General features: G+C 34.1%; 1 long non-coding RNA gene across 6 annotated transcripts in view; it reads right to left on the bottom strand.

Annotated features, from left to right (window-relative positions):
* Positions 1-13,498, bottom strand: part of LOC107984685 (uncharacterized) — a 216,619-nt gene that overhangs the window by 63,078 nt on the left and 140,043 nt on the right. Inside the window, exon 8 of one of the 6 annotated variants that reach the window (XR_001750696.1) lies at positions 6,136-6,681. The exons of the other annotated variants lie outside the window; for them this stretch is intronic. This is a non-coding gene — a long non-coding RNA (uncharacterized LOC107984685). Of the gene's footprint in view, positions 1-6,135; positions 6,682-13,498 lie in introns of those variants that run through there. 6 annotated transcript variants of the gene reach the window in all.

Genomic DNA, 13,498 nt, shown 5'->3' with positions numbered 1-13,498 from the left:
AGCATGATGAAATTTTCTGGAAAATGGAACAGCATTAAAAAGACAAATAATCAAGAAACTAGAGTGTGTTTTAGTAGCCATATGGTTTGGCTGCGTCCCCACCCAAATTTCTTCTTGAATTATAGCTCCCATAATTCCCACATCATGGGAGAAACCCAGTGGGAGGTACTTGAATCATGGGGGCGGATCTTTCCCGTGCTGTTCTCGTGATACTGAATGAGTCTCACAAGATCTGATGGTTTTTTAAAGGGGAGTTCCCCTGCACATGCTCTGTTTGCCGGCTGCCATGAAAGATGTGACTTTTCTCCTCCTTTGTCTTCTGCCATGATTGTGAGACCTCTCCAACCACGTGGAACTGTGAGTCAATTAAATCTCTTGACTTTATAAATTACCCAGTCTTGAGTGTGTCTTTATTAACAGCATGAGAAGGGACTAATACAAAAAAAAAAAAAAAAGTCTGACTGGAACTAGGTTTAGTGGAGTTGAAGATGGAAGGGAAGATCATATTCATGACTCAGTATCTTGCTTAAAAGTTTGGACTTCATTGGGCAGGTTGTAAGCAGCCTCTGAATTTTTTTTTTATTTCAAATGGCACAAGTCTATGCTACAAATGTGCCTATGAATGCACTGTTCTCCCTTTTTCCTTGTGCATTTACTGATTCTCACTCTTGACCCCTTTTAACCAAATCCTATCCAACAATTTTCTTGTGTGTGAGTTAATGAAGTGGCTTAATGGTCATAGTGAGAAAAAAAAGTATTTTTATATAATGCCTAGAATGTTTCAAATGAAATCCATCCATAAATAAAAAATCCATCCATACATAAAAATAGATATGTAGATATAACACGCATGGCAATCTGAATGTCTAAGATGTCCAGTAAGCAAAATGCACTCTAGGGCAAAGAAAACAAAGTGTTAACAAGAGTAATTAGAATTGGATGAATATAGAGAGTGTCTAAGACTGTGGTCATGCACTAGGGAGCAGTCATGCATGATGGTAGAAGAGTTTTATAATGAAGTTAAAACATATTTAAGATAAAGATTAGAAGTGTGAAAGCTAAAAGGACATTTTAAAAATCAAAATAAGAGTGATAAAATTGACAATGTTAAAGTTATAGCACAATTGAATTATGTTCCAGAGTTCAATACACATAATAGAATAAAAAGTTTGTAACTAAATAGAAGAAATTAGAAAAGTGGTTTCAATCTAGAGATAGTTTTTTAAGAAATTGAAAAGATTTAAGGAGGACTAGTTAATTTTAGTCAAATGAGTTCTAGAAATCTGCTTGAAGTTTAAATATTTATAAACATAAATGTACATACAGAGAAGAGTGATGAAAGAGAATAAAACATAAAGTGCAATTAATGTGTCATAGTTTTTTTCATTATTTTTCAATTTTAAGTAGAATGTAAGCCAACAAGATAACCAATCTATGAGAATATAAAATGAATGTGACTGCTTTGAATATAGTCAACTGAGAGACTCTACAGTTAATCCAGTTATGTTGCCAGTGTTTGGTTTGTTTTTAAATAAAGATCTCCTCTTTCCTAGGATAGCTGATTAGTATCATACTACTTCCTTTGAGATTGAGTTTGGATTTGACAAACAGCAAAACCACCTAGAGCAAAGGCAGCTGAAGGCACGGAGCCAATGTGTCATTGGAAATCATCTAGCCAACTTCCATTTGAACAATGGAAGGAACTCTAGAGTTTAATGTTTAGTTAAGACACTTTACAAGCAAGAAACAGTAGCAGAGCATAAATTAATTTTAACACTCAGAGAATTTATTGATTTATTGGAAAGAAACTGAAATACATTGAAAGCTCAAAAAATAGTAGTCAAAACCAGGTCAATTTTGGGGACTTCTGGGATCTATAGTGGGGTCTCTATGCTAGGAACCTTCACTTTTTGAGTTTTTCCAAGTGGTGCAGACATGGACATGGCAGATTTGTGGTGGTGATATTATAGCTTCAATAATAGGGAAGGAAAAAGGCACTCTTCCCTATTGGCTCTAGTAGGAAAATTAGCAGGGAAAGACACTAAATGGGTTTGCTTGGATCAATGTCCATTTTGAAAATGTTTGGGTGTGGGAATGAGCTCTTTAGATTATTTCAATTCATTGTGTGCTTACCCAATAAGCAGAGAAGTTAGCTCTGTTACCAGAAGAGGGCAAAGAAGTTTGACAACCCAAAAACAATAGCCACCACAATCATGTATGCCAAACACATACCCACAAGACATATCAAAGGTGGTTGGAAATGTTTGGATATCTTAACAGCATGTCCAAAACTAAGCTCATAATTTTTTTCTCTCCTCTTTTCACACAAGGTGCCACTTTCCTCTATATTCTATATAGTGACTTTTCAATTCAACAAACGAAGCCTTAGCAAGTTATTTAATCTTTGTGCTTCAATTTTTCTCTTTTCAAAACAGGAATAATTCCCCATTAATAATGGTTTCCCCATTAACAGTGTTATAGTGGATTGAGGTCAATGAGTGAAAAGCATCTAATTGATGCCTGTATAGAACAGGAATTAACTGTAATTTAATTCCCTTATACTCCTTTCCCCACTTAAAAACTCAATCCTTTTTAATCTACACTTTCTAGCTTGCCTACACTTTCTTTACTCTCTTGAATTTATTTGGAACTCCTTGCAGTTCCCCTAAATGCAGCATGTTTCCATTTCTTTGTTTTTTTTTTAATGTTTTTCTTATTTATTTATTTTTTTGGAAACAGTTTTGCTCTTGTCACCTAGGCTGGAGTGCAGTGGTGTAATCTTGGCTCACTGCAACCTCCACCTCCCGGGTTCAAGTGATTCTCCTGCCTCAGCCTCTCGAGTAACTGGGATTACAGGTGCCCGATACCACGCCCAACTAGTTTTTATATTTTTAGTAGAGATGTGGTTTTGCCATGTTGGCCAGGCTGGTCTCGAACTCCTGACCTCAGGTGATCTGCCCACCTTGGCCTCCCAAAGTGCTGGGAGTACAGGTGTGAGCCACCATGCCCAGTCAAGATTTAATGTTTCTAATTCTCCGATTTCCTTAGTTGTCTGTCCCCAGCAGCCTATCTCTGACACCACTTTTTTTTTATTATACTTTAAGTTCTAGGGTACATGTGCACAACGTGCAGGTTTGTTACATATGTATACGTGTGCCATGTTGGTGTGCTGCACCCACCAACTCGTCATTTACATTAGGTATATCTCCCAATGCCATCCCTCCCCGCTCCTCCTACCCCACGACAGGCCCCTGTGTGTGATGTTCCCCTTCCTGTGTCCAAGTGTTCTCATTGTTCAATTCCCACCTATGAGTGAGAACAAGCAATGTTTGTTTTTTTCTCTGCGATAGTTTGCTGAGAATGATGGTTTCCATCTTATCCATGTCCCTACAAAGGACATGAACTCAACCTTTTTTATGGCTGCATAGTATTCCATGGTTTATATGTGCCACATTTTCTTTTTCTTTTTTTTTTTTTTTTTTTGAGATGGTGTCACACTGTGTCTCCCAGGCTGAAGTGCAGTGGCGCGATCTCGGCTCACTACAAGCTCCGCCTCCTGGGTTCACGCCATTCTCCTGCCTCAACCTCCTGAGTAGCTGGGACTACAGGTGCCCGCCACCACGCCCGGCTAATTTTTTTATTTTTATTTTTTTATTTTTAGTAGAGACAGGGTTTCACCGTGTTAGCCAGGATGGTCTCGATCTCCTGACCTCATGATCCACCCACCTTGGCCTCCCAAAGTGCTGGGATTACAGGCGTGAGCCACCACACCTGGCCTGTGTGCCACATTTTCTTAACCCAGTCTATCATTGATGGACATTTGGGTGTTTCCATTTCTTTGTAGCTGGCATCTCCTCTGCCTGGAATGTCCTCCCTGCCAGACTTCCCTATCCCTTCTTTAATCCTTATTCATTTGGCAAACCTGTATTGAACAGAGCTCAAATACCATAATCTTTGTGAAGCACTCTCTGACTCACTCAGTAAGTCAAAGTTAAACCTTTGTGCTCTCTATTCTCATAGTATCATCTGCATAGTATTAATATTGACTTATTATTGTATGCGTCCTTACTGTTTATCACTTAGCCTCCAACATTAAACTGTGGGCTTCCTGAGGGACAACATTTTATAGCAAGTGTTGCATCCCACGGTAGGAGTACCAAGATATTTTGCAGTGTGGGTCACAACTCTTGGCATATAGTTGCTACCCAATAAATATTTAATGAATGCTTGAAATTTGTATACCTGTCATTTATTGTCTGGATTTAAGTAGAAAATGGTATGTTCATTTTAAAAAATATATGTACTATGTTAAAAATCAGTTAATTTTCCTTCTACTAAAGTGTTTAAAGGTACTAACTCTATCATTTGTTGGATTTGCTCTTCTATCAACTTGTTATCTATAGCATCATCTAACTCATTGATATAGACATATACCATTAATAAAGAAGGCCCATCTTGAGCCCAACATGCCATAGGAGATGCTTGTTTCTAATTATGAATCTACTAACTTCATTATTCTTTTATGCAAATTTATTCATTCTTTTATCAAGGTTGGTATGATAAAAACTGCCCAACACCTTGCTGAAATGCAAGTTTGATCAATTAAGCTAGTAACCTTATCAGGAAAGGAAATGAGATTTGTTTGATATAATTTGTTCTAAGTTAATCTTCTCTGACTCCTAGTACATAGTTGTTGGAAGGTATCTGTTTAATAATACAATCTGGATCTGATCAATTATGAATATCAAATTCATGGTCCATATTCTGTAACACCACCTTCGCTATTGAAAAAAATATTGTAGTATTGCCCGGCCTCAGTCTTTTGGCGCTTCCCAATTTTCAGTGGGATTCAAAGAATCCCAACAGTTGCTCAGCAATTTTTCTGCAAAGTGTTTTCACTATACTAAATTGCAAAAAGCTTCTGTCACTGGTAACTACAAAAGATAATTCTTATAATATTTTGAGATATGTTTCCTCTGTTGAGTGATGTTGCCATATCTCCAGAGTAATCAGATGGTCTCCCAGGGTGAGCACTTTGAAAGACAATATTCATCTGAAATCTAAGTTGTTGCATTTATATTTTTAAGAAGGTAATCACTGTATCTCTACATTTAAGAGTTAAATTTAGTATCCATTTTCTCAGAGCTGAAGAGTACCTTAAAAAATCTACTATGTAATTTTATGGATCAAGAATTATATTCAGAGATAAAGTAGATTATTGATCATGTACTCATTAATATTCATCTAGGATTAGATGCCTGATCTCCTAATTCCCACATATATTAGAGTTATACATATGAAATCCATGTATGACTTTAGAGAAGCTTTGAACAATCTATGCTGTGTGGAAAATTCTGTTTCCACAAACAATACATTTCTTATTGTTGAGTGATTTACAGCTTTCATTATATTCTCAAAGGAGTTCATGAACCAAAACTGTTAAGAACCATTAAACTAGATCAGACTGGTGGCTATAGTTTCAAAGATTAAACGGAATACTGAAGTATAAAATTAATTTAAATATGAGTCTTACAAATGTATTCTTCTTCTTATAAGCTACAGAGAGAAACAATATTAAAAAAATTTAAGTTTTCACCATATTAGCATTAGGTCATACTCTTAAAATCTTATGCATTCATCAGAATTTCTCCTGAATATAATGATAGCCTAATTATCACTAGAGTGTAAGTTGGTTTATGAGGATTTGCATATTTGTTTTGTAAATGTTTCATGGGAAAAATTATTAATTAGCATCTAATTAATATTTGGGTTGCTGAGAACATATTTTTTAAACTTTAGAAACAAGAAAATAGAGAATAGTTAATTATCCATCTCTGATCTCCTTTAAAATTTCTCATTGCTAAACTCAACAGCACAAAGGAGAGATTAATAAAAATAAATCTGAAGTAACTTAATCGCACTCTTTTCATTTTGCCCAATTACTGAGATTCTCTCTGTCTTTATCCATTCAAAAGCGTTATTAAATAAATATTTTGTAAGCATTAATAATCTTAGAAAAGATAATAATTGTTAATACTTGAGAATTACACTGAAGAATTTCCCCAAAATGTTGAAATGATAAAGATGTAATTGAAACTATAAAACCAACACCTAGGTGAAATACGACAAGCCCCAAAAGCACTGAGTTAAGAGAATATAATGAAAAATAATTATTTCTTTTAATCAGGTGATCTGGTCAGTTAGTACATTGTAAGTGTATTTAACAAGCAGCTATCAGTATTAAGGCTGTGGTTCACACAAGAGTATAAAAGTATACAGCTAAAGAGAAAGAAATGAAGCTCTCTATAGAAGATAAACAGTGGAGTACACACACAAAAGGGATCAGATAAAGAACTTTGCCATCACACAATTTACGGTCTCCAGAGGAGAGTCTTGGCCAAAGGGTTATTTCCATTCAGTGGCTACATGAGCAACGTTCCTCTGGCTATCCTCACTAACGACTTTGGGGAAGGTCTTCTAAATTTCTTCTGTTTGTAATTTGGCTTTCCAGATAGTTGTCCTCATTAGAAGAGAAGATGCTAATTATGTTGAACTGAATACTCTGGGCTTTGTGACAGATGAAATTTCTCATGGTGAAGTAGTAGTACTTTGGCATTCTGGAGTCAATGTCAATCTCAAGACTTGGGCCCATTTTAGTCAGTCTCTGGTCACCTCTGGAATCTAACAAGAGCAAGTCTTAGTCACAGTCCCATTAAGGGTCTATCAGCTTCCCCAGTGTCTTAATCCAGAGCATCTGACATCGTAACATGCACACAAACCATCTGGCAACTCTGTGAACATGCTGATTCAGATTCAGTAAGTCTATTATAAGGCCTCAGTTATTGCACTTCTAACAAGCTTCCAGGTGAGACACTTGCTGCTAAACTGTAGGCCACATTTTGAATAACCAGTGCCTGAAAGTAACCACCTGAACAAAGTCCTAAATACGACATATTTTAGAAATCACCTCCTACCTACCAAACTGGAATCAAAAAGGTTGGGGGCTGTAGTTTTAAATAATACCCAGGTGATTCTAATGAACCACCGGTTTCAGGACCCACGGTCTTAATTGACTTTTTAAACAAACTTTCTCTTTCAAATTTCTACAAAAGTAACCAGAAAACTGAATGCATTATACCATACCTTATTTAAACCCTTGAGATACTATTCTGGACTCTTTTTATAAGAGTTGTGCATATGAACTCTCTATTCCCATACTATTCACATGGTATCATGTGCATGCTATTAATATGACTCACTATTTTGCGCATTCTTACTGTTTATCACTTCGCCTCCAACATTGAACTGTGGGCTTCCTGAGGGACAAAATTTCATAGCAAGTGTTGTATCCCATGGTGAGAGTATATATATCAAACAAATTATAATTGATAAAATTTAGCATATTATATAAAACAAATCTCATTTCCTTTCCTGATAAGGTTACTGGGTTAATTGATCAAACTTGCATTTCATCAAGGTGTTGGGCACTTTCTACCATACCAACCTTGATGAAAGAATGAATAAATTTGCATAAAATAATGATGAATTTAGTAGATTCATAATTAAAAACAAGCGTCTCCTATGGCATGTTGGGCTCAAGTTGGACCTTCTTTAGTAATGACATATGTATATGTCAGTGAGTTAGATGATACTACAGATAACAATAAGAATGCTGTTACGACTCTTAATGAGAAACATGTTGGTGTCTACTGAAAATAATGTTGCTTTTATTTCCACCCTATGGTTTGCTATTTATTTTTACAGTTCATTGGTAGTGTTAGGCACTGTGGTATGGAGAGACAGAAAAAAAAATTTAAAAATGACAACTATTTAATATAACATAAATGAATAGTATATTGAAGAGAACATTGGATATAGTATTATAATGTAAATTATGTATTACCAATGTTTATTAGTTTGGAATCTCTATGCCAGGGATAAAAATGGGTGGCCTTTGGGTCCAAATTGAAACTACAAATATGTTTTGTTTGGCTTAAATATTGTGGTTGCCATATTGTCTCACCAGCTGTTTTGACTTGAATGCATTTAGTCAGAGCATGTACCCACAGACTCTACTAACGTCTCTTATTTTATACCAGTATTATATTACTGGCTATCTCATAGGCATTTGAGATTTTATTCCATATATATTTCTATTTCTTTTCTTCTGCAAACAAATACTACGTTTTCATATCATATTAGTAGGGGCTGAGAGGTAATTTGTAGCAATGAATACATAAAGAAGAGAAAGAAGGTAACTATAATTTTTACAGGTTAAATAAAAATATATAGTTTAATAGTTTTAAAGAAAATTTTTATTTGAGGATCTAAATTAAAATAAACTACGTGAATTACACTTGAAAAAGAAATGATTAAGCTTCAGAGTCCTTGATAATTTTTACTGATTCTATATTCTTTAAAGTTTCAAGTAACATTTCCTATCTACTCAAACACATGTATCAAAAATCAATACTGAAACATGGCAATGCCTCATTTCTTCTGAAAACTCGGTTTTGCAAAATATATTATTTTTTTCAGTGGCAATATATGATCTTTTAAGTAGCCATGTTTGATGAACCAACCTGGAAATAATCGCTTATTCATGCTTGAACTTTCTCCTATCCAACCTAATCTAGAAAACTATATATATTAAGATCACAATGCTTCCTTTTTGCTCAATATAAACATCAATTAGACCTTATGTACATGTACAAAAATCATTGTGTCATAAAGTCAGTCTTTGGTTTTTCATAGGCCAGGTAAAAAGGCAAATTCTGATACTAATTGTTCCAAGATGTATGTGTTCTTTCAGAATAGCTACACTTGTCATTTTTTGAACTTGTCATTTTCAAGGCAACTTGATGCATTAAAAATATGATTTTGGTGAAATTATAGTTTTTATTTGGTGTTTACAGCTCAGACAAGGACTTTTTAAGCTTATTATTATTGTTGTTGTTAATGAAACAGGTGTCACTTCAAGAAGCTTTTGAAAATGGCATATAAACTTTGTTTAGTTTATGATGAAATGATAGTTATAACAACGCATACAACCTTCTACTGACAAGAAAATTGTGCACAAAAATTCCCAAACTACAATGTCAGCTTCCTAAAAATGTTTTGTACTTAAACCTGAAATATTGAGAGAAATGTTGCTTATAACATATGCAGAATAAAAGCATTCTTAATTTTTAAAATGACAAGACTTTTTAGTTAAACCATGTCACATTTATGACAAGAGAAAAACTACTTATTTTGGCAGCTTGTGACTTAATGAAGCATTTAAGTATCAATACAAGGCTTCATTAAATGGAAACATATGGCAAACCATATCATTATTTAGTTATTCAAATGTTGAAGAACTGTTAGAGTTTAACAATGTAAATAATACCTTGTAAATGTATCACTTCATTGCTAAGCTTCAGAAAATATTTTAATAGATCATTATATATCTTGCCACTATATTTACAACTACAATAAAAGTTAATGTTAGTGGTCATCATATCTCATTCAAAAAATTAATATATGGCCTGTAATCCCAGCACTTCGGGAGGCCAAGGCAGGCGGATCACGAGGTCAGGAGATCGAGACCATCTTGGCTTACACGGTGAAACCCCGTCTCTACTAAAAATAGGAAAAAGTAGCCAGGCGCGGTGGCGGGTGCCTGTAATCCCAGCTACTCAGGAGGCTGAGGCAGGAGAATGGCATGAACCCGGGAGGCGGAGCTTGCAGTGCGCTGATGTAGCTAGCGCCACTGCAGTCCGGCCTGGGCGAAAGAGCAAGACTCCGTCTCAAAAAAAAAAAAAATTAAAAAAATAAAATAAAATAAAATAATAATAATAATATATGAACAACAGATTTAAAAAGATAACGTCTTTGCAGAAAGTAGGTTTTTCTGGACTTTCTGTAACTGGAATAAATTAAACACTGTGATCAAATTTATCATTGGTAAAATTATGTCTTTTAGATTTAATAGAAAAATCTTTACATTTCTAAACTCTGTTTTAAATGAATTTTCATAAAGAAATAACAATTTTCATAAAGAAATAAATGAATTTCTTTTTCATAAAGAAAAAATAAAATAATTTCTAATACAATATCAGAGAAGATATGTTTTATATTTTCAAACTAAGATCACCTACTCTATCTCTATTTACTTGTCAAATGGCAATTATAAATCATATATTGTGGTTCTTCAAAGAGAAAAACAGGTAGTCCAAATCAGAGCAATAAATAACTGGGTTGTTTGAGAACATTTGAACAGCTCTGATAACTGTGCTCTATTCCAGTTTTTTCACTCTCTTGGGCATCACAGTTTCCAAGGCTTAATTTTTAAAAATTTCCTTAAATGTTTTGTTTTGCCCACAATAAACTCTTTAGATAGATTCCGAAATATCTATAAGTGACAGCTTTTTACATACACGATATCAAAATGTCAACAAAAGTTCTTCATTATTCCACAAACACTTATTAAATCTTAATGAAGGAATGCTATATGATACAGTCATTAATATAGCTGAGTTGCTTTTAGATAATTTATATGAAAAATGGAAGCAAACTTGGATGGAGTCCGGAGGCAAATGATTATGCTCTACACAGTGTCATTGAAAAGAGAACAATTTTATTTCATATTGAATATTTAAGTGCCTTAAAAAATAACTGTAAGTAATTCAAGGAAAGAATTAAACAATGGATAACAGGAGAGGAAAAATAAAAATTAAAAGTATAATGAAATGAAAAATCATATTTCCAGCTAAGAATTGAAATGAGAATAAAAGCATTGATGTTTAAAATGAGATACAGGATAGCTGCTCTTTCCAGTGAAAGATGCATGATAGCATTGGAGTATCACGCTGGGACGAGAGGTGATTGAGAATGGCACGAAATACAGCCAACAACAGTCCATGATCACTAATATTGAGTGGTTTCAGAGCCTGTACACCCATTTTCATTTTGCAGTACAAATATCTTAAAATATGTATAGAATGAAATAGCTGTAATGGAGAAACAAATATCAAATTCAACAGTTGCTTGGGAATAATCATCCTTTTTTAGATTTTTGGCTAAATCAATATGTAGAAAATTTAAATGTATACAATTGCCTTCCTGAAGAGTGATTGATAGACATAAAGGGATGTTTGAGGGGCTGAACTGTTTGCCTGACTAGCAACAAAGCACAGCACAGGGACTAAGGGTATGGGTTTGGAATGTAGATTGGAAAGCTCAAGCCTTGATCACTCAGTAGATGTGCTGCTTCAAACATTTTCCCTAATATTTCAACTGCATAGTTTTCCCATCTAAGTATGGAGATGATGATAATGGTCTCCACCTCACAGGTTTGTTTAATATATGTAAGAATAATTAACATATTCCAAGCATTTAGTGGATAACTACTCAAAATTTCTCTGGAGACATTTGCCTTCAAATGGGGCCTTATATGATTTAGAAACCATGAAGCTTAAAAAAAAAAAAAAGAAAGAAAAGAAAAGAAAGAAAATAAGGCTAGTAGTGCCTTGGCCAATTTAGCAGAAGAAAATAAAAATGCAAAACTCCAGATGGACATTCTCACAACTCAGCCTGGAAGGAAGTCTCACACATAAAGGAAGAAACAAACAGAAAATAATCCATCCTGAAAAAGAAACAATGTCAAGCATACACACACCAAATGGGACTAGAGACCAATAACTTCATATGCTGGAGCAATCTGATGAAGATTTTAAAATAAGATTTTTTGCAATTATGAAAGATTTTAAAAAGAAAAACCTTAATAAAAGAACAAGATGATGAAAAAAGAACAAGATCATCTGAAAAAGAAAAAAAAAATCACTTTGAGAAATGAGAAATACAGCAATCAAAATGTAAATTGTAAAGGATGTGTCATGGAAAATATTGGACACAGCTGAAGGGCTAATTAGCAAATTGGAAAATGTCTCTGAAGAAATTAATCAAACAAAACATAGATATATGATTTATAGAAATTATCAAAGAAGTTAAGTGACATGAGTGATAGAAGGAAAAGATATATAGATATATGAAGTTTTAGAATACAATACAGAGTTAGGGAGAAATAATGAAAAGACAATGTCTTAAGAATTTTGCAGATGTGATAGATGACAAGTATTCTCAGACTCAGGAAGAACAAAAAGTCTCCAGTAGATAGATTAACACATATTTAGACTTCCTAAGTTAAAAAATAGAGGTAAGATCTTAATATCAAAGAGAAAGTACAAATATAAAGGACTGATTTTGAAAGCAATCAGATTTAGAAGGCAGATTGCTTACAAAAGAAAAATCATCAAACAATAGACCTCCAAATTTTAAAAATAGAGTAAAAGATCTATGCAAAACAGCCAAATGCTTAATTGTTAAGAGAGCAGTAATGAGTACAACTTAAACATATGCCCCTAATAGATCCTTGCTGTATGAATATGTAAACAATAATTCAAGAGGGAACGTGAATCCGGAAGTACAGCTAGGAATGTGGAAATCAAGAGTAAAGAATTTACTGTGCGGTTAAGTCTAAAAGAGCATGAACTTTATGAAATAATAATAATACTACTAATTTTCAACTTTGGTGGGCATGAAACAAAGTAGAACTAAAATATAGGCAACAAAACTTACAGAAAATGAGAGAAATGATTGCAGATAAAATGTTCTAAGTTTATATTATTCTTGGGATAAGGCTACAGATAGTAATGAATTTCAGACTTGTTGAGTCAAGAACTTTGTAAAAGTTAAAATTATCCACTAAAAAAAAAAGCAAAATGTAGAGCTTCCAAACTTCACAGAGAAAGAGAGAATTTATGAAATATAATTAATTTGGTATAAGGTAAGCCAAAAGAAAAAATAATGCAAAAATACAGTACATAAGGGAAATATCTTTCTAACTTAAAGGAAGCAATGTTTCCTCAGCACAGAGATAACAGTGATCATAAAAGGAAAATAGGCCTTATTTGGAAATAATGTCATGAGAGATGTAACTAATTAAGATGAGGTCATACTGAAAGAGGATAGATAGGCCCCTAATCCTTTGTGACCCATGTCCTTAAGATGACAATTATGAGAAGCAACAAACAAACCGAGAGAATGGCATGTGAAGACGGAAGCAGAGATTGTTGTGATACCTCTGTAAGCCAAAGAATGCCAAGCAATGCTGGCAGTCACCAGAAAGTAGGAGAGAGGCGTGGAGCAGATTCTCCCTCAGATAGATCCCTCAGAAAAAAGGAACCTTGCCAACACCTTGATTTGCAGCTTTTTGCCTCCAGACTGTGAGATAATATCTTTTGTTGTTTTAACCACTTAGTTTGTAGTGCTTTGTAATGGCAGGCTTAGAAAATTAATTCGACTTCTTGAAATTAAAAACTTCCACTCACTAAAATTCATGATTTAAGAAAATTAATAGGGAACTCACAAACTGGGAGAAATATTGGCAGAACATGCACCTGAAAAAGGATTTGTATACAGGATATATAAAAAATACCCACCGCCCAAAAATAAAAAG

Source organism: Homo sapiens, chromosome 14 (genome assembly GCF_000001405.40).
Source record: "Homo sapiens chromosome 14, GRCh38.p14 Primary Assembly".
Taxonomy (NCBI): Eukaryota; Metazoa; Chordata; class Mammalia; order Primates; family Hominidae; genus Homo; species Homo sapiens.
Note: the sequence above shows the minus strand (reverse complement) of the source record. Positions and strands in the feature narration are given on the sequence as shown.